The 19,144-nt window shown below is 48.2% G+C and overlaps 3 annotated features.

Annotated features, from left to right (window-relative positions):
• Positions 2,470-3,121: an enhancer, noted in NCBI's record as "H3K27ac hESC enhancer chr20:44633303-44633954 (GRCh37/hg19 assembly coordinates)". NCBI's record gives its function as "activates a minimal SCP1, AML or CMV promoter by ChIP-STARR-seq in primed H9 embryonic stem cells {active_cell/tissue: H9 hESC(primed)}" and the evidence as "EXISTENCE:reporter gene assay evidence [ECO:0000049][PMID:30033119]".
• Positions 3,122-3,773: an enhancer, noted in NCBI's record as "H3K27ac-H3K4me1 hESC enhancer chr20:44632651-44633302 (GRCh37/hg19 assembly coordinates)". NCBI's record gives its function as "activates a minimal SCP1, AML or CMV promoter by ChIP-STARR-seq in primed H9 embryonic stem cells {active_cell/tissue: H9 hESC(primed)}" and the evidence as "EXISTENCE:reporter gene assay evidence [ECO:0000049][PMID:30033119]".
• Positions 11,862-12,369: an enhancer, noted in NCBI's record as "H3K27ac-H3K4me1 hESC enhancer chr20:44624055-44624562 (GRCh37/hg19 assembly coordinates)". NCBI's record gives its function as "activates a minimal SCP1, AML or CMV promoter by ChIP-STARR-seq in primed H9 embryonic stem cells {active_cell/tissue: H9 hESC(primed)}" and the evidence as "EXISTENCE:reporter gene assay evidence [ECO:0000049][PMID:30033119]".

The following is a 19,144-nucleotide window of genomic DNA, read 5'->3' as shown; positions in this document are numbered from 1 at the left end:
TAACCTGGAGTAAATGCCTTCCCCTTTGTCAGCTTAGGATTCTTCAACTGCAAATTGGGGCAGGATATGGGGGAAAATAATCTATAGGAGCCCTTTCAGTTCTCCAGCCCTGCTCCATGCAGCCAAATCTCCAGCCCCAATTATCACACTTATGCCAAGCCTCCCTCCCAAGCCTCCCACACCAGCAGCCTCCCTCACTCCTTTCTTCCTAGCCAGCCGGCATCGGGCAGGGTCTATATTCACCTTCTTCAAAGCCCTATTTGGGAAAAACCTGCTAACAACTCAAAAAGTTGTATTTATTTATTTTATTTTATTTTTGGGGGGTGTAGTATCACTCTGTCACCCAGGCTGGAGTGCAGTGGCGTGATCTCGGCTCACTGCAACATCTGCCTCCCGGGTTCAAGCAATTCTCCTGCCTCAGCCTCCCGAGTAGCTGGTATTATAGGCGTGCGCCACCACGCCTGGCTAAATTTTTTGTATTTTTAGTAGAGATGGGGTTTCACTACGTTGACCAGGCTGGTTTCGAACTTCTGACTCAAGTGATCTGCCCACCTGGCCTCCCAAAGTGCTAGGATTACGGGCATGAGCCATGGCGCCCGGCCCAATAAGCTGTATTTAAAGGGCCTACTATGTGCCAGGCATTTTATATGCTTATCTAATAAATGAGACTGTGAGATGGAGATAATTAACTTCCTTTACAGAAAAGTTGAAGTTCTAAAGTTCACTAACCAATGAACATCTGCTTTGCAGTCACGAAGTCCTGGATTTCCATCCCGGCTCTGCCATTTTCCAGCTATGTGACCTTGGGCAAGTCACTTTACCTCTGAACCATAATAATAATAATGCATTTTTTGAGATTTACTGTGTCAAGCACCGTAATAAGTTCTCTATAAGCCTCTCGTTTCATCCTCACCACCTGTAAGGTAAGTTTAATGAGTATCCCTCCTGTTTTCAGAGGGGGAAACTAAGGCTCAGAGAGTTAAGGAATTTGCCTGTGATCACAGAGCGAGTTAATCCACAGAACTAGTGTTCAAGCCCAGAACTGCCTGGCTCTGAAGCTTTTCATCTTTATTACCATTTACAGGGAACTGTGATGACCCAGGTATAGAAGTGGGTAGGTGGATGCGGTGACAGGGGCAGCACATAAAACCTGGATGCTTCTCCTCTGGTCCCCTGCTACCCACTGAAGGTAAGAGAGGAGGCCCAGGCATTTAGGGAATCAGAGGCTAGGACAGGGGACCCAGGAGGAACTAGATTCTAGACTCGGGAATGTGAGGTCATAGAGTAATATGAGTTTAGAGGAACAGATCTTCCAATCTGGAGGATCTTCATCTGGGTGGCAGACACGGGCTTTTAGGAAAATCCGTTAACTACCCCCCACTTGCCATCAATGGTACCAAACATGACATACAATACATATCTATGTATGTATGTCACATAGCTCAAACTTAGCACTATTGGCACTTGGGGCTGTCGTGTGCATTGTAGGATGTTTAGCAGCGTCCCTGACCCCTACCCACTGGATGCCAGTAGCACCTCCCCCTGCCAGTTGTGACAACCAGAAATGTTACCAAACATTGCCAAATGTACCCTGGGTGAGTGGGAGGGGCAGACTCACCCCCAGCTACTGGTATATGTTGATTTTTCTATGTAAAGGGTCTAAAACTTTTATCAGATACTCAAACCATTGTTGATGATCTTCAGACCTTTTAAAGACCATTTACTCAACACATTCTAGTTGAGTTTTTCTAGGCCAATCATTATGCTAAGAATTGGGAATACAAGTAGTGACCAAGATAGCCTTTGTCTCATTGTTCATGGATCTGAGAGTTCAGCATGGGGAGAAATTGAATGAATAATTAATTACCAGAGAATCAGGCATCAAGAAAGGAAAGTGGATTTATGTATTCCAATTACCCTCATCATGCAATGAGGAAACTGAGGCTCAGAGTGGTCACAGAGCAAGAGCCTGCACTCTGGAGCCAGGCTGCCTAAGTTCAAATCTCAGCTCTGCCACTGACTTGCTGTGTGACAAGGGCAACTGACACAACATTTCAGTGCCTCAGTTTCCCCATCTGTAAAATTGGAGTAATAATAGTGCTTCCTTCATGGGGTGGTTGTAAGGCTCAAAGTGTTAGCAAATATAAAGTGCCTGGCACATGATAATAAGTGTTCACTGCTATGCTAATTAGGACCACCTTCAGGACAGCCGCTGTTTTTTACCAAATGGGAGCAGGGAGAGAGCAGCCAGGAAACCCAGATCTTGATTCCTGGAGTCAATCCAAATAAGAATCCTCCTTTTTTTAACATCCCCCCCAACTCCCATCAACTTCCTCCTTTACCTCCTGGCTCCCCAACCCCCATCAAGGGGAACTTGGACAGAGCTTGGCTTTCAACACTGCAGTGGCAGGAAGTGGTTCTGGTTACCACATCCCCTTCCCCACTTCCCCCAGCCTCTCTTTTTAATACCACAATAGAGTTTAGCCAAGACCCTGGGAGTGCAGGCAGAGAACAGCATATACCCTCACGTAGAGTCATAGCTTAGACTCTAAGCCCCTCACTGAGGTAGCTCCATCAGGATGGGGAGGGTGCTGACCCTGGAGTCCTGAATCACTAGCTGGATGACACAGCCCTGCAGGCCATTATTAATAACAGGCCCCCAGATCAGGGTCAGCCTCACGAGATGAGGAATCTGTCCCGCTATCTAGGATGGGGGAACTCCAAGCCTCTTTCTCCCAAACCTGCCAGAGAGGGGAGGGGCAGCCAGGCCAGAGAGGCTCTGGCAGGATGTGGAGGAGACACTGAAATCTGAGATGAAGTAGAAAGGTGTGTATCCTGCAAGACATTGCCTCAGGGGAGAGCATCACTCAAGTACCCCACCCCCAACCCACAAACACACCTGCCATCCCTAGCTTCAGGGGAATGGCAATTCCCACACTGACTCTTAGAGTCCCTATTAACACCAAGTCACACCTCCCACTTATCTGTACTGAGCACCGTCAGTAAGGAAGCCATAGGGCATAAATTTTGGAATCAGACCTCCTGGGTTCATATTCTACTACCTATCATTTATGGGCTGTGGGACTTTAGGCAAATCACTTTACCTCTCTGTGCCTCCCTTTTCTCATTTGTAAAGTGGGGAAAGAAGCAGACCTCATTTGGAGGTGTTGTAGTGGGGATTAAATGTGATTATACATGGCAAATTCTCAGCACAGTGCCTGGCTCTTAGCAGGTACACACACACACACACACACAGTTTAGCTATTATGATTCTATTACTCTAATGCTCTCATCTCAACTTTGCAAATTAACGTTCATACCCATGGCTCAGAGAAGTGCTTTAAGTTGCTCACGGTCACACAGCTGGTGAGTGACCAGCTGCCTAGGCCTTCTGACTCCCAATCCCGTGCTAAGATCAGGTCACTGGCTCTCGCAAAAAGGAAGTCCATGGGGGCAGCAGTCTAGGGGCAGGGAGGGGTGATTGCCCAGAAGCCAGGCTGGAGGAGTTATGTTTAGGAACCAACAGAGGGAACAGATGTGAGTTATTTGGCTGAAATCTGTAGGAAAGAAAAGTTGGAGATAAAAAAGGAAAATAAGAGTGAGGTAGCTGGTAGGGCAGAGAACAGTCAAGTGGAGGTTTTTTTGTTTTTTGGGGTTTTTTTTTTGAGTCAGGGTCTCACTCTGTCACCCAGGCTGGAGTGCAATGATGTGATCTAGGCTCACTGCAGCCTCCGCCTCTGGGTTCAAGCCATCCTTCGACCTCAGCCTTCTGAGTATCTGGGACTACAGGTGTGCTCCATCAAGCTCAGCTAATTTTTGTTTTTTTGTAGAGACAGGGTTTCGCCACGTTGCCCAGGCTAGTCTTAAACTCCTGGCCTCAAGCAGTCCACCCGCCTCGGCCTCCCGAAGTGCTGAGATTACATGCGTAAGCCACCGTGCCCAGCCTCAAGTGGAGTTTTATTTAAGGTGAGAAGTTCTTGTCTACAAGAAGGGATGGTGCTGTGCAGGGAGAGATGTGAAAATGGAGGTGAAAGAGAATGGGCCTGGGACCGGTTCCTTTGACACTGGGTTGCCCACTGGCAGGTAAGAATATGCTTGGGGTCCCAGCAAAGCAGGCGCAGTCCCAAAATACACATTTAAAATATTGATTTTGACCGGGTGCGGTGGCTCACACCTGTAATCCCAGCACTTTAGGAGGCAGAGGCAGTTGGATCACCTATGATCGGGAGTTGAAGACCAGCCTGGCCAACATGGTGAAACCCCGTCTCTACTAAAAACACAAAAATAAGCTGGGCATGGTGGTGCATGCCTGTAATCCCAGCTACTCAGGAGACTGAGGCAGGAGAATCACTTGAACCCAGGAGGCAGAGGTTGCGGTGAGCTGAGATCGCGCTACTGCACTCCAACCTGGGCGACAGAGCGAGACTCCGGAGACTGTGTCTCAAAATAAATAAATAAAATAAAATATTGTTTTTGATATTTGGAAAAAATCCTCAAAGTAGCCAGCTTGGGAAAAAAAAATCAGTTCTCTATTGTTCTTTTTATGAAGTCATTTCAGGGTTTAGTGTTGTTTTACTTTGGACAACAGATGGGAGGGGCACCGTATTTTCAGTAATCACAGCCACTAAAGGTGTAAATCTGGTCCTGCTCACAATGGGGAAGAGGTGGGAAGAGGACTTAATCTTTGAGAAATCCAAGGTTAAGCATTCAGCGGGGGCTCAGTCCCTGCTGGACAAATGGATGGAGAGAGCCCTGGGGAATGGCTCAGGAGGGAGAAGTCCATGTGGCGCACAGGGAAACCGGCACATATTTTGACCCTTTTCCAAGCCTGGGTTGAGCCTCTACTCTCGGCCCAGCCCACTTTCTCATACATCTTCCAGTTCAATGGTTCTCAAACTGTAGTCCCAGGACCAGAAGCCCCTGCAGCACCTGAGAACTTAGAAACACAAATCCTCCCCGCCCCAGAATGATTGAATCAGCAACTCCGGGGTGGGGCCCAGAAATCTTTGACCTAACAAGCCAAAGTTTTTGTTTGTTTGTTTGTTTGTTTTTGACACAGAGTCTCACTCTGTCTCCCAGGCTGGAGTGCAGTGGCACGATCTCGACTCACTGCAACCTCCACCTCCCGGGTTCAAGCGATTCTTCTGCCTCAGCCTCTTGAGTAGCTGGGACTACAGGGGCCCGCCACCATGCCCGGCTAATTTTTGTATTTTTTAGTAGAGACGGGGTTTCACCATATTGGCCAGGCTGGTCTTGAACTCCTGACCTCGTGATCTGCCCGCCTCAGCCTCCCAAAGTGTTGGGATTACAGGCGTGAGCCACCACACCTGGCCCTTTTTTTTTTTTTTTTTTTTTTGAGACAGAGTCTTGTTCTGTCACCCGGGCTGGAGGGCAGTGGCATGATCTCAGCTCACTGCAACCTCCACCTCCCAGGTTCAAGCAATTCTCCTGCTTCAGCCTTTTGAGCAACTGGGACTACAGGTGCTTGTGGCCATGTCTGGCTAATTTTTGTATTTTCAGTAGAGACAGGGTCTCACTATGTTGGCCAGTCTGGTCTCGAACTCCTGACCTCAGGTGATACACTGGCCTTGGCCTCCCAAAGTGCTGGAATTACAAGCATGAGCTACTGTGCCCAGCCCAGCCAAGTGATTCTGATGCATGCTCAGTTTGCCACCTCTGCTGTAGTGCAGCTTCATCCCTACGCTGATAGGGAGGGCATTTGACCCCATTTCCAGATGAGGAAACTGACCTTCAGAGAGATGAAGCCACTTGTCCAAAAGCCACACAACTCATACCAAAATCAAGTGGGAATCTAGGCCTTTCTGACTATATAAAGTGGGTGCTTCTCACTACAACATTATAGCGGGGGGTGATGTTCAAGTATTTAACAACCAGGTCCTCAGGAGCCCTAACTAATCAGAACTGATTATGTCCAGGGTCTGGGGAGATGGGGAGGGTGATGCTTTGAACTTAGAAAGTTCAAAGCAGCCCCAGTTACAAGTGGATGGGGAAATATGTCAGTATTTTATTTTTGAGACAGGGTCTTGCTCTGTTGCCCAAGCTGGAGTGCAGTGGCACAATCACGGCTCACTGCAACCTGTGCCTCCCAGGCTCAGGCGATCCTCCCAAGTAGTTGGGACCACAGGCACGCTCCACCACGCCTGGCTAGTTTTTGCAATTTTTATAGAGATGGGTTTACCATGTTGCCCAGGCTGGTCTCAAAATCTTGAGCTCAAGGGATCCATCTGCCTCGGCTTCCCAAAGTACTGGGATTACAGGCATGAGCCACCGCACCCAGCCATATTTCAGTATTTTTACAACCAATGCTGCTATACCAGTGCATACTGGCTGCACACCAATCCTCCAGTCCCCTTCCTAGAAGGAGGGTCTCCTGAAGCTGGCACCGGGTGGTGGGCCTGCAGCTAACAATAGCCCCAAAGCAAGCACAGGTATAACAAGTGTCTCGTGGGAATCCTGTTCAGCAATGCTTCTCAAATTTGATTGCACATTGGAATCACTCAGGATTTTCTCTTGAATACTGATGCCTGACTTTCACCTCCCCTCCTGTAGATTCTGACTTAATTGGTCTAGGGTACAGCCTGAGCGTTGGGAAATTTTTTAAGCCTCGGTGATTCTAATATGCAGGAAGGGTTAATAACATTGCTATACCGGGCCCCGGAACCTGTAAGAGTCTCCAGATTAAGAACGCCTGGTTAGTGTCAGTATTTCCTAAAGCCAGGGACTTTTAAAAAACAAAGGTTCTCAAGAGATTCTGGTTTAGTAATCAGTGTGATCTGGAAGTAGATGTTAGCAAGCTCCTTCGGTTTAGAAATCACTGATAGGGACAGCCGCTGCTGGCTGTGTTCACTGAGAGGTTCAGAGATTCTACCCCCTCTCTCCCACCCACCCCCAACATAGTTGAAGCAATTGAGAACACTTTGCCAGGAAGTATCCAGAACCAATTTCCGCAGCTCTTCCTTCCCCTGTGCTGCGGAGACATTGCTTCAAAGAACACGCTCTGTAAAAGAGCCCAAGACACCCTCCCCGGAGAGTCATTTCTGACTGTGCTGCTGCAGAGCCCCAGGGCTGCAGGCTGGGCTGGGCCTGCTCTGATTGCCTGTTCTTCCCATTAAACCTGGGACACCCTCATTTAGATGCGATCTGCATACATTTGCATATTAAATTCCAGTGCCCCCTCCCATTCCTCCCACCCCTGTGGCATGTTAGGGGAAAACAAAAACTAATGTATTCACAAAGCCTGCTGAGATGTGTTCAAACCTGAACTTCACGCAGCGCTGGGACTTTGATACACCTGAAGCCGGGGGTGCTGGGATGCAGGGAAGATGGCACAGTCTCTGCATGGATGCAAGGAAGGCCAGCGGAAGGGAAGCACTCGAAGCTTCCCAGGGTCTGGAAGTAGCAGTTCCAGCCCAGCTCCTGATGAGAGGCGATGCGGGATTTCTCCAATGGGAAAACACGGGGAGCACATGGAGAGGGGGCGGGTGAGATTCATGGGGGGCCTGGTTTGGAGACCATCCATAAGGCTCTCTCAGCTCCAACCATGGGCTCCATAAAGAGGCCAACTAGGTGACAGCTGGTACAGTGGAAGGGGCTGGATGCTGGAATCTGGCATACCTGGATTTGAATTTGCACTGTGTGACCTTGGGTAAATGACTTTCCCTCCCTGAACCTCAGTTTCTTCATCTTTGTAATGGGAGTTAAAATTAAGCTGATTATATGGTCATGGGAGTCATGTCTTTAACCAATCATGGAATTATCTTTCCCAAGTCCCTTCTGAGATTGGGAAGGAATCTGCTAATGAGTGAGTCTTGGAGGGTGGAGGGGCTCCAGAAATCTACACCTGCATGACAAACGGCCTCGAAATTTAAAGGCTCTGAAACAATTTATTGTGACTGTATCTCACTATTCTGTGGGTCAGAAATTTGGACAGAACACAGCAGGGCTGCTCCTTCTGCTCTATGATGCCTGAGGCCTCAGCTGAGGGAGTCAGCTGGTGGCTCAGTGTGGACTGGAAAGTCCAAGGTGTTTTACTCCCATTCCTGGATGGATTCATCATGTTTTTATTTTTTATTTTTTGAGTCAGAGTCTCACTTTTTCTCCCAGGCTGGAGTGCAGTGGCACGAACATAGCTCATGGCAGCCCCTAACTCCTGGGCTTAAGTGATCCTCCCGCCCCAGCCTCCTGAGTAGCTGCTACTACAGGCATGCGCCACCACACCCAGCAAATTTTTTGTTTGTTTTTGGCAGAGATGGAGTCTCACTGTGTTGCTCAGGTTTGTGTCAAACTCCTGGGCTCAAGTGATACTCCTGCCTCAGCCTCCAAAAGTGCTGGGATTGCAGGTGTGAGCCACCACGCCTGGCCTATTAATCGTGTTTTTTCTTTTCTGTATTTTATGATGCTTTGACATCCAGGGGCCTTATGGACCCGAAAAGGGACTGCCCCTCCTAGGGATAGCTAATTCCTAGAGATGGCAATCTTGCCTGGGAGCACCTCTTAATGTGCAAACCAACCAATCTTGATTCCATAACCCCCATCCACCTCCTACCTCCTTTTATCAGCTCCTGCAGTTCAGGATGCTATCCCCCATTCTAGATCATCCTGCTTAGGTACTAGACAACTAGGGACCACCCCTATAGCCCAGAACCCAAGGGAATTGTTCAAGCTAGCCAGTCCTAAACCCATCCAGCTTGTCTACCCTGCCTTGCCTATTCCTTCCCACCAAAATCACAATGAAGACTCTGGCCCACACTTCCCCCTTCCTCCTTCTGCCTCCTGACTGATGCTGGTACTTCCCCATGTGGCCCTGTGTGACATGGCATGCCCCCTCCTCTTGAGAACTGTGGTTAACCAACTGTCTTTCAATGACAATCATCTCCTGATCTGTTGGCCTCGCCATACCTGAATAAAAACAAAATCCCAGGTACAATTTAAAACATGGGGGTCAGCCGGTGCGGTGACTCATGCCTGTGATCCCAGCACTTTGGGAGGGCGAGGTGGGAGGATTGTTTGAGCCCAGGAGTTTGAGACCAGCCTGGGCAACATAGCAAGACCACCATCTCTAAAATAAAAAAGAAAAATATGTATATAAAACACTGGGGTCTTGGCAGAGCTAGCTGGAAGGCTGGGCTGTAGTGTGCCCTTCTCCCTTCCCCACGTAATCTCCATGTGGTCTCTCCAGTCAGTCTTCTTACGGAGTGAGTGACTCAGGGCTCCCAGAGACCAAGGCAGAAGCTGCCACTTCCCTTAAAGTCTGGGCCTGAAGCTGGCATAGTGTCACATCCACTGTATTCTATTGGCCAAAGCAGTCACAGGCCAGGAGAGGAAGATAGAGCCCAATTCTCTATCTCCTGTGATATGAAAGGAGTATCACAGAGCATGCAGCCATCTTTAATCTTCCAGGGATGGAGAGGTATCCTCCCACTGGAAACCTCCCCCGGGCATCAGGGATGCAGACATGTGACTGGGTTTGGGCCATAGGATGCTCCCCCCAGATCTCTGAATCTTAGGAGACTGCTGGATTGATGTATGAGCAGAGCCCAGCAGTCCTGAGGGTCCTCCAGGGTCAGTCCAGGCTGACCCTGCTACGCGTTCCTGATCGTGCCCACTGTGGGCCAGTCTCCCTCGACACCAGCTCACCTTCCAAGCTTGGCCTTGAGCCTTCACATCGCTGCTGTGAGCCTCCAGAAATCTGTTTAGTACATTCCTTTTTGCTTAAGTTAGCCTGAGCCAGTTTTGCTTATTTAAAACCCAGGGCCCCCACTAATACAGGACCATTCTCTTCCTTCTCCTCACTCCCTGAGTGCCTGGCTTTAACGGAAAGCACCACTGGCCTCATTTCCTAAAGCCCCCTGGGTAGCACCTGCCGAGGTCCCAGTGGCACCTCCAATGTAACCTGGTCCAAATCCAGTCCTCCCCAGCCCTGCTCCTCCCTCTGGGCCCCTCCTCCAGCTTCCTATTCATTCCCAGGCCTTCCCAATTTCCAAATCACCTGTATGGCATCCGATAGCCCCCCACAATGACATTCAAGTAACTGACAACCTGGACAGTCCTCTTTAATCCAGCCCCTCTGTATTTATTTGCTTGCATGGGCTGCCATAACAAAGTCCCATAGATGGGTGGCTTAAACAACAGAAATGTATTTTCTCATAGTTCTGGAGGCAGAAGTCCTAGATCAAGGTGCTGGCAGGGCTGGTTTCTTCTGAGCCCCCCTTCCTGGGTCTGTAGATGGCCGTCTACTTTCCTTGTCTTCGCATGGTCTCCCCTCTGTGCATGTCTGTGTCCTAATTTCCTCTTCTTAAGGACGCCAGTCATATTGGATTAAGGCCCATTCCCATGACCTCATTTTAACTTAATTACCTCTTTAAATACCCTATCTCCAAATACAGTCACCTTCTGAAGTGCTAGGGGTTAAGGTTTCAACACTGAATTTTTTGAGGGGAACACAGTTCAGCCCAGGACACCACCATCCTCTGCATTCCCACTGCCTCTGCCTGAGCTTCAGCCTTGCCACCTCTCTCTCCTGTTTTTGCAATAGCTCAGCCCCTCTAGCACCCAGCATCCAGCTCCTTATTGCCTCCAGAATAAATGCTGAACTCCTTAGCCTGGCATCCAAGGCCCTGCTGAGCCTGACTCCAACCTGCTTTTAAAGTCGTCATTGCAGTGAGGGCCAGGAAAGATGTGAATGTTGTCTAACGGCTTGCTACTCAAAGTGTAATCCACGGACCGGCAGCATTGGCATCACCTGGGAGCCAGTCAGAAATGCAGAATCTCGGGCCAGACCACAGACATACTGAATCAGAATCTGCCTCACCTGCATAAGATCCCCAGGTGACCTGATACAAGGCAAAGTTTGAAAGTTTACAGATGACCAGGCATGATGGCTCATGCCTGTAATCCCAGCACTTTGGGAGGCCAAGGTGAGAGGCCTGCTTGAGTCCAGGAGTTTAAGACTAGCCTGGGCAAGATAATGAGACTCCCCTCTCCCTCCTCCTTTCTCCACAACAGTAAAAAAAATTAGCCACATGTGGTGGCATGCACCTGTGGTCCTAGCTACTCAGGAGGCTGAGGTGGGAGGATAACTTGAGCCTAGGAGGTCGAGGCTGCAGCGAACCGTGATCACACGACTGCACTCCAGCCTGGGCGACAGAGCGAGCCCTTGTCTCAAAAAAAAAAGAAAGTTTGGCCAGGTGCGGTGGCTCATGCCTGTAATCCTAGCACTTTGGGAGGCCGAGGCAGGCTGACCATCTGAGGTCGAGACCAGCCTGGCCAACATGGTGAAACCCCATCTCTACTAAAAATACACACACACACACAAATTAGCTGGGCGTGGTGGCGGGCGCTTGTAATACCAGCTACTGGGGAGGCTGAGGCAGGAGAATCACTTGAACCTGGGAGGCAGAGGTTGCAGTGAGCCTAGATGGCGCCACTGCTCTCCAGCCTGGGCGACAGAGCAAGACTTCATCTCAAAAAAAAAAAAAAAAAAAAAAAAAATTGCTGGGCGCGGTGGCTCACACCTGTAATCCCAGCACTTTGGGAGGCCGAGGTGGGTGGATCACCTGAGGTCAAGAGTTCAAAACCAGCCTGGCCAACATGGTGAAACCCCGTCTCTAATAAAAACACAAAAATTAGGCAGGCATGGTAGTGTGCACCTGTAATCCCAACTACTCGGGAGGCTGAGACAGGAGAATCGCTTGAACCCAGGAGGTGGAGGTTGCAGTGAGCCAAGATCGCGCCATTGCACTCCAGTCTGGGTGACAGAGTGAGACTGTCTCAAAAAGAAAGAAAGAAAGAAAGGAAGGAAGGAAGGAGGGAAGGAAGGAAGGAAGGAAGGAAGGAAGGAAGGAAGGAAGGAAGGAAAGAAAGAAAGAAAGAAAGTTTACAGATGGTAAGAAAGAAAGTTTACAGAATGGCATCCAGAGAGGGACTCAAAGGATCAGGTTTCACCTTGTTGGGCCAGAAACTTGACTTTGCCCGGACAGAACCACCTCATTCAGAGGAGTCTGAGACGCACAGCAGATGACAATTCTGAACAAACAAATAAACTTGGCTATTAAGAATAGCCCAAGGCTAACAAGAATTCCAAATTCACAGGTTAAGCAAATGAAAAGGTTGCCCAAGATGGCTCCCTGATGGGTTCTCAAATTTCTCATTTCCATTCAGCAAACATTTATTGAATCCCTGCTGAGTGCTGAGCTGGGTGCTGGGCGCAGGGAATTCAAGGAGATGTGAGCTTTGTCCTGCAGGAGCTCACACACTAGGAAGGAAGACAGATCACAAAGAGACACAGTGAATAACTGGTGTATATGCCAAGGGCACCCACCCACCCACGCTCCGGGATCCACGCTCCATCCTGAGCTTCGGTTCTTGAAATACATCAAGAACTCTGGCTTCTGAGCCTTTGCACTATCCATCCCTCCTGCCTCAAACCCTTCCCACGCTTCCCCTCTCTGCCCTCCCTCTTTGCCTGGCTAAATCTTATTCATCTTTTATATTTCAGCTGAGTTGTCATTTATTCCAGGAAAATGCTGCTGACCACCCCAACCTGGGAAGGGGGCTTTTTCTGTGCTCCCATGACTCCCCTCAGCCCACCACTTCCCTTACTGAGACATTTTTCATCATTCAGAGTGAATTTCCTGTTTATTTGTCTATCTGTCCACACAGGCTGAGAACATATCATGGGTGCAGGAAACTTATGTGCTGTGTTCACTATATTCTCAGGTATTTCTTCTCTTTCTTTGACAGACAGGATCCTGCTCTATTGCCCAGGCTGGAGTGCAGTGGCACGATCATGTCTCATTGTAACCTTAAACTCCTAGGCTGAAGCAATCCTCCTGCCTCAGCCTCTGGAGTAGCTGAGACTTCAGGCATGAGCCACCACGCTCAGCCTTAGGTATTTCTTAAATACAAACATAAGAGTGGCCGGACGCAGTGGCTTACACCTGTAATCCCAATATTTTGGGAGGCCAAGGTGAGAGGATCACTTGAGGCCAGGAATTCAAGACCAGCCTGGCCAACATGGTGAAACCCCCATCTCTACTAAAAATACAAAATACCCCATCTCAGCTGGGCGCGGTGGCTCACGCCTGTAATCCTAGCACTTTGGGAGGCCGAGGCGGGCGGATCACCTGAGGTCAGGAGTCCGAGACCAGCCTGACCAACATGGAGAAACCCCATCTCTACTAAAAATACAAAATTAGCCGGGCGTGGAGGCACATGCCTGTAATCCCAGTTACTCGGGAGGCTGAGGCAGGAGAATCGCTTGAACTCAGGAGGCGGAGGTTGCGGTGAGCCAAGATTGCGCCATTGCACTCCAGCCTGGGTGAAAAGAGCGAAAACTCCATCTAAAAAAAAAAAAAAAAATACCCCGTCTCTACTAAAAATACAAAAAAAAAAAACCTAAAAAAAAAAAAAATTAGTGGGGTGTGGTGGCACTCGCCTGTAATCCTAGTTACCCAGGAGGCTGAGGCACGAGAACTGCTTGAACCTGGGACGCAGAGGTTACAGTGAGCCAAGATCAAGCCACTGTACTCCAGCCTGGGCAACAGAGCAAGACTCTGTCTAAATAATAATAATAATAAGAGTAATACTAGTCAGCTCTTTTTGAGCTCATATTGTGTGCCAAGCACTGTCCTAAGTATTTATGTATAATAACTCATTTAACCCCCACAACTACCCAGTGAAATGGGTGCTATAATTTTTCCCATTCCGCAGATGTAGAAGTACAGAGAAGTTAAGTAACTTGACCAAGATTACACAGCTAGTAAGTGGCAGAGAAGGGATTCACACCCAGGCAGTCTGGCTCCAGAGTGCATATTGGAAGACAACATTATTCACTCCATGGGGGAGGGGTCAGAGGTCAGGAAAGGGTTCAGCAGGAGCACTACCTGGGCCGGGTTTTGGAGTGTGAATAGGAGTCTGCCATGTGGAAATGGAGGAGTAGGGCTTTGCAGATTTGACAACCTCCAATCTGGGCCCCGCCTGTCAGTGCAAAAGCATTTCCCTGAAGGGCAAATGTAAAGCAATTGACAGCACTCCAGACACTAACCAACTAGGCTTAGACAGGGTGAATGCTGGGTCTGGTTTCAGCCTGAGTCACCCACTGGCAGGGCAGGTTACACACACCCTGCAATGGCTGAGAAGTACATTGTCCTTCCCTCTTGCCCCAAGGTTCAGGCTCACGCCAGAACCACCACACCTCCCTTGCAGGGATTGCCTCACTCGCTCAGCAAGGAACACCCCAGCGGGCATGCCTTCGGGCAGATGTGGGCTCAGAGCAGACCTGGAGCCTGCGAAGAGAGCAGGCGAGGTTCCTCTCTTCCCTGCAAAGCACCCCAAAACCCCACTCAGGCTGACCTTAGAGACTAGAGTAGCTTCCCCTGACTCAGGGGTCCTCTAATTTCCTCCTCTCCTCTCCCCTCCCCTCCCCTCCCCTCGCCTCTCCTCTCCTCCCCTCTCCTCTCCTCTCCTCTCCTTTCTTTTTCCTTCCTTCCTTCCTTCTTCCTTTTTTTTTTAAATAGAAAGACAGGAGGTCTCACTTTGTTGCCCAGGCTGTACTCGAACGTCTCCGTTCAAGTGATCCTCCCACCTCAGCCTCCCAATTATCTGGGATTATAGGCACGAGCCACCGTGCCCAGCTAGTCCTCCAACTTCTAAAGCCCCAGAACCTATTTAAGAAACTGGATCTCAGCCAGGAGCGGTGGCTCACACCTGTAATCCCAACACTTTGGGAGGCCGAGGCAGGCAGATCACCTGAGGTCAGGAGTTCAAGACCAGCTGACCAACACAGCGAAACTCTGTCTCTACTAGAAATACAAAAATGAGCCGGGCATGGTGGCGTGTGCCTGTAGTCTCAGCTACTCGAGAGGTTGAAGGAGGAGAATCATTTGAACCTGGGAGGTGGAGGTTGCAGTGAGCCAAGATGACACCACTGCACTCCAGCCTGGGCAACAGGGTGAGACTGTCAAATAAATAAATAAATAAATCAGTCAAATAATGACCACAAGAAAGAGAACATGAACACTAAAAGTAATGTGAATTTCTTGATTGGACCCTGGGTTTTTAATGTTTTAAATTGCCCACATTAAGGGATGTCTGTGGGACAACTGGAGACATTTGTGGGGTTTTTTTATTTTTTGGTTTGTTCGTTTGTTTTTTGAGACAGAGTCTCACTCTGTTGCCCAGGCTGGAATGCAGTGGCGCGATCTTGGCAACCTCCACCTCCCAGATTCAAGCAGTCTCCTGCCTCAGCATCCTAAGTAGCTGGGACTACAAGCATGCACCACCACGCTCCGCTAATTTTTGTATTTTTAGTAGAGATGGGGTTTCACCACGTTGACCAGGCTGATCTCAACCTCCTGACCTCAGGTGATCCGCCTACCTCCGCCTCCCAAAGTGCTGGGGTCACAGGCGTCAGCCACCATGCCCGGCTGAGAAATTTGAATGTAGATTATATGTTGGATAATTGTACTGTGGTTATGTAAGAAACTGCCCTTATTCTTTGGAGGTTTAAGGGTGAAATGTGAAGATGTGTGCAACTAACTCCCTTGTGGTTCAGAAAAAAAAAGTATTACATGTATAAATATAAATAAATAGAGAGAGAGAAGAGGAAGTATTATAAATATAGAAATATATTAACAACTGGTGAGTCTAGATGAAGGTTATGAGTGAAGGTCATTGTACTACTCCTGCAACTTCTGTGAAGGTTTGAGAATTTTTCAAAATAAAAAGTTGGGCCAGGTGCAGTGGCCCATACCTGTAATCCCAGCACTTTGGGAAGCCACAGCGGGAAGATTGTTTGAGTCCAGGGGTTCAAGACCAGCCTGGGTGACATAATGAGACCTCGTCTCCACAGTCAAAAAATTCACTGGGCTTGGTCGTGTGTGTCTGTGTAGTCTCAGCTACTCAGGAGACTGAGATGGGAGGATCACTTGAGCCCAGCTTGAGGTTACAGTGAACTGTGATTGCACCACTGCACTCCAGACTGGGCTAGGCTGAGTCCCTGCCTCAAAAAAAAAAAAAAAAAAAAAAAAAAACAGAAGAAGAAGAAAATTAAGATAAGATAGTGGTCACTCCACTGCCAGGCAAAGTATGGAGGAGTCTTCTGGCATTGTATGATATCCTATTTATTTTCCTTTCTTTTCTTTTTTTTTTTTTTTTTTGAGACAGGGTCTCACTGTCTCCCAGGTTGGAGTGTAATGGCTTGATCAGAGCTCCCTGCAACCTCATACTCCTGGGTTCAAGCGATCCTCCTGCCTCAGCCTCCCAAAGTGCTGGGATTACAGACATGAGCCACCGCGCCTGGCCCATCCTACTTCTTGATATGGGATTGTTGGTGGCATGGGTGATGTCATGGGTTGAATTGTGCTCCCCATCAGTAATAAGATATATTAGCCTAGAACCCCTGAATGTGACCTTATTTGGAAAAAAGGGTCTTTGCAGATGGAATTAAAGATCTTGAGATGAGATCATTCTGGATTAGTGTGGGCCATAAATCCAATGACTGGCTGTCCTTATAAGATAAAAGCTGGCCAGGCAAGATGGCTCGTGCCTGTAATCCCAGCACTTTGGAAGGCCAAGGCAGGTGGACCACCTGAGGTCAGGAGTTCGAGACCAGCCTGGCCAGCATGGTGAAACCCCGTTTCTACCAAAAATACAAAAATTAGCCGGGTGTGGTGGTGCAGGCCTGTAATCGCAGCTACTCGGGAAGCTGAGGCAAGAGAATCGCTTAAACCCAGGAGGCAGAGGTTGCAGTGAGTGGAGATCGTGCCACTGCACTCCAGCCTTGGCAACAGAGCAAGACTCAGTCTCAACAACAAAAAAAAAAAAAAAAAAAAAAGAGAGAGAGAGAGAGAAAGGCTGAAGGAGATTTGAAACAGAGATGAAGAGAAGAAGGCCATGGAGGCAGAGAGGCTGGTGTGATGCTGCCACAAGCCAAGGAACTCCTGGAGCTACTAGAAGCTGGAAGAGTCAAGGAAGGATTCTCCTCTAGAGCTGCCAACACCTTGATTTTGGACTTTTGGCCTCCAAACTGTAGGATAATACATTTCTGCTCTTTTAAGCCACGAGGTTTGTGTTAATCTATGATAGCAGCCGTATGATACTAATACAGGTGTGTACAATTAGTGAGAATTCATCAAGCTGTACACTTACAGTTTGTGCACATTTCTCTATGTTCTCTATGTTATACTCCTTTAAAAATGTACTTAGAAGGCCGGGTGCAGTGGCTCACGCCTACAAGACTCACCTATTTTAAGTATACAATTCTATCACGACTGTAATCCCAGCATTTTAGGAGACAGAGGCAGGCAGATCACCTGAGGTCAGGAGTTCGAGACCAGCCTGACCAACATGGAGAAACCCTGTCTCTACTAAAAATACAAAATGAGCTGTGTGTGGTGGCATGTGCATGTAATCCCAGCTATTCGGGAGGCTGAGGCAGGAGAATCACTTGAATCCGGGAGGCGGAGGTTGCGGTGAGCTGAGATCATGCCATTGCACTCCAGACTGGGCAACAAGAGCAAAACTCTGTCTCAAAAAAAAAAAAAAAAAAAGTACTTGGAAATAAATAAGCCAGAATGACCATCTACTAATCTACTATCAATGTTAATTTATTTAAAAATCTTAAAATCAAAAGTATAGTAAGTACATAATCACAAAATAAAAGAAGGACCCTCAGAAAGAAATTTAAGTTTGTGATACTCTTTTTTCCTTCATTGCTAAGAATCCACAAAAATATCTCATCATAGATAAGCACCATCTGCAGACTGGCTGCATCAGAATCACCTGGGGAGCTTCAAAAAAATATAGAATCCCAGACAGAGCCATCACCAGGACAGGATAGGGAGTCCAGAAATAGACCCAAATACATGTGGGAATTGAGTATATGCTAAAGGTGGCATTTCAAATCAGTAGGGGGAAGATAGATTATTCAATATGGTGTTGGTTCAACTGGCTAGCCACTTGGAAAAAAAGCTGTATCTCTACCTCATTCTCATCACTAAAATAAACCCCAGATGGATAAAAAACATAATTTAAAAAAACACACCCTAAAAGGACTAGAAGAGAATATGAGATGTTTTCCTTTTATAATCTGGAGGTAGAAACTGCCTTTAACCACCATTTACTGCATACTTACTCACTATCCAACTTTGTTCTGGGGGCTATAGATGGGGACAAATGGGAGGTCCCTACACTTCCAGGAACTCCTATTCTAGGGAGGGTGATCTACAACAGTGGTTCCCAGGTTTTAAAATTTCACTGACCATTAATAATAATTTGCAAATCCATTGCTTTTTTTTGAGACAGAGTCTCACTCTGTTGCCCAGGCTGGAGTGCAGTGGCATGATCTCAGCTCACTGCAAACTCCGTCTCCTGGGATCAAATGATTCTCCTGCTTCAGCCTCTCGAGTAACTGGGATAACAGGCGTGTGCCACCATGCCTGGCTATTTTGTATTTTTAGTAGAGATGAGATTTCACCATGTGGTCAGGCTGGTCTCGAACTCCTGACCTCAAGTGATCCACCCACTTCAGCCTCCCAAAGTGCTGAGATTACAGGCATGAGCCACCATGCCTGGCCTCCTTTGCCTTTTAATAATCAAGTGAGAAAAGCATTCCCATGCACGGCACAAAATCTTCGGGCCATTATGAAAAAGATCAATAAACTGGTTGTGGTGGTGTGCACCTGTAGTCCTAGCTACTCAGGAGGCTGAGGCAGGAGGATAGCATGAGCCCAGGAGTTCGAGGCTGCAGTGAGCTATGATCACAACACTGCACTCCAGCCTGAGTGACAGAGCAAGATCTCTGTCTCAAAAAAAAAAAAAAAATCAATAAATTTAGCTCCATAAAAACAAATGGTTGGCCGGGCACGGTGGCTCACGTCTGTAATCCCAGAACTTTGGGAGGCTGAGGCAGGCAGATCACCTGAGGTCAGGAGATCAAGATCAGCCTGGCAAACATCATGAAACCCTGTCTGTACTCAAAATACAAAAATTTGCCAGGTTTGATGGTGGGTGCCTATAATCCCAGCTACTCGGGAGGCTGAGGTGAGAGAAGCGCTTAAATCTGGGAGGTGTAGGTTGCAGTGAGCTGAGATGGCATCATGGCATTCCAGCCTAGGTGACAGAG

This window comes from Homo sapiens, chromosome 20, assembly GCF_000001405.40.
Source record: "Homo sapiens chromosome 20, GRCh38.p14 Primary Assembly".
Taxonomy (NCBI): Eukaryota; Metazoa; Chordata; class Mammalia; order Primates; family Hominidae; genus Homo; species Homo sapiens.
Note: the sequence above shows the minus strand (reverse complement) of the source record. Positions and strands in the feature narration are given on the sequence as shown.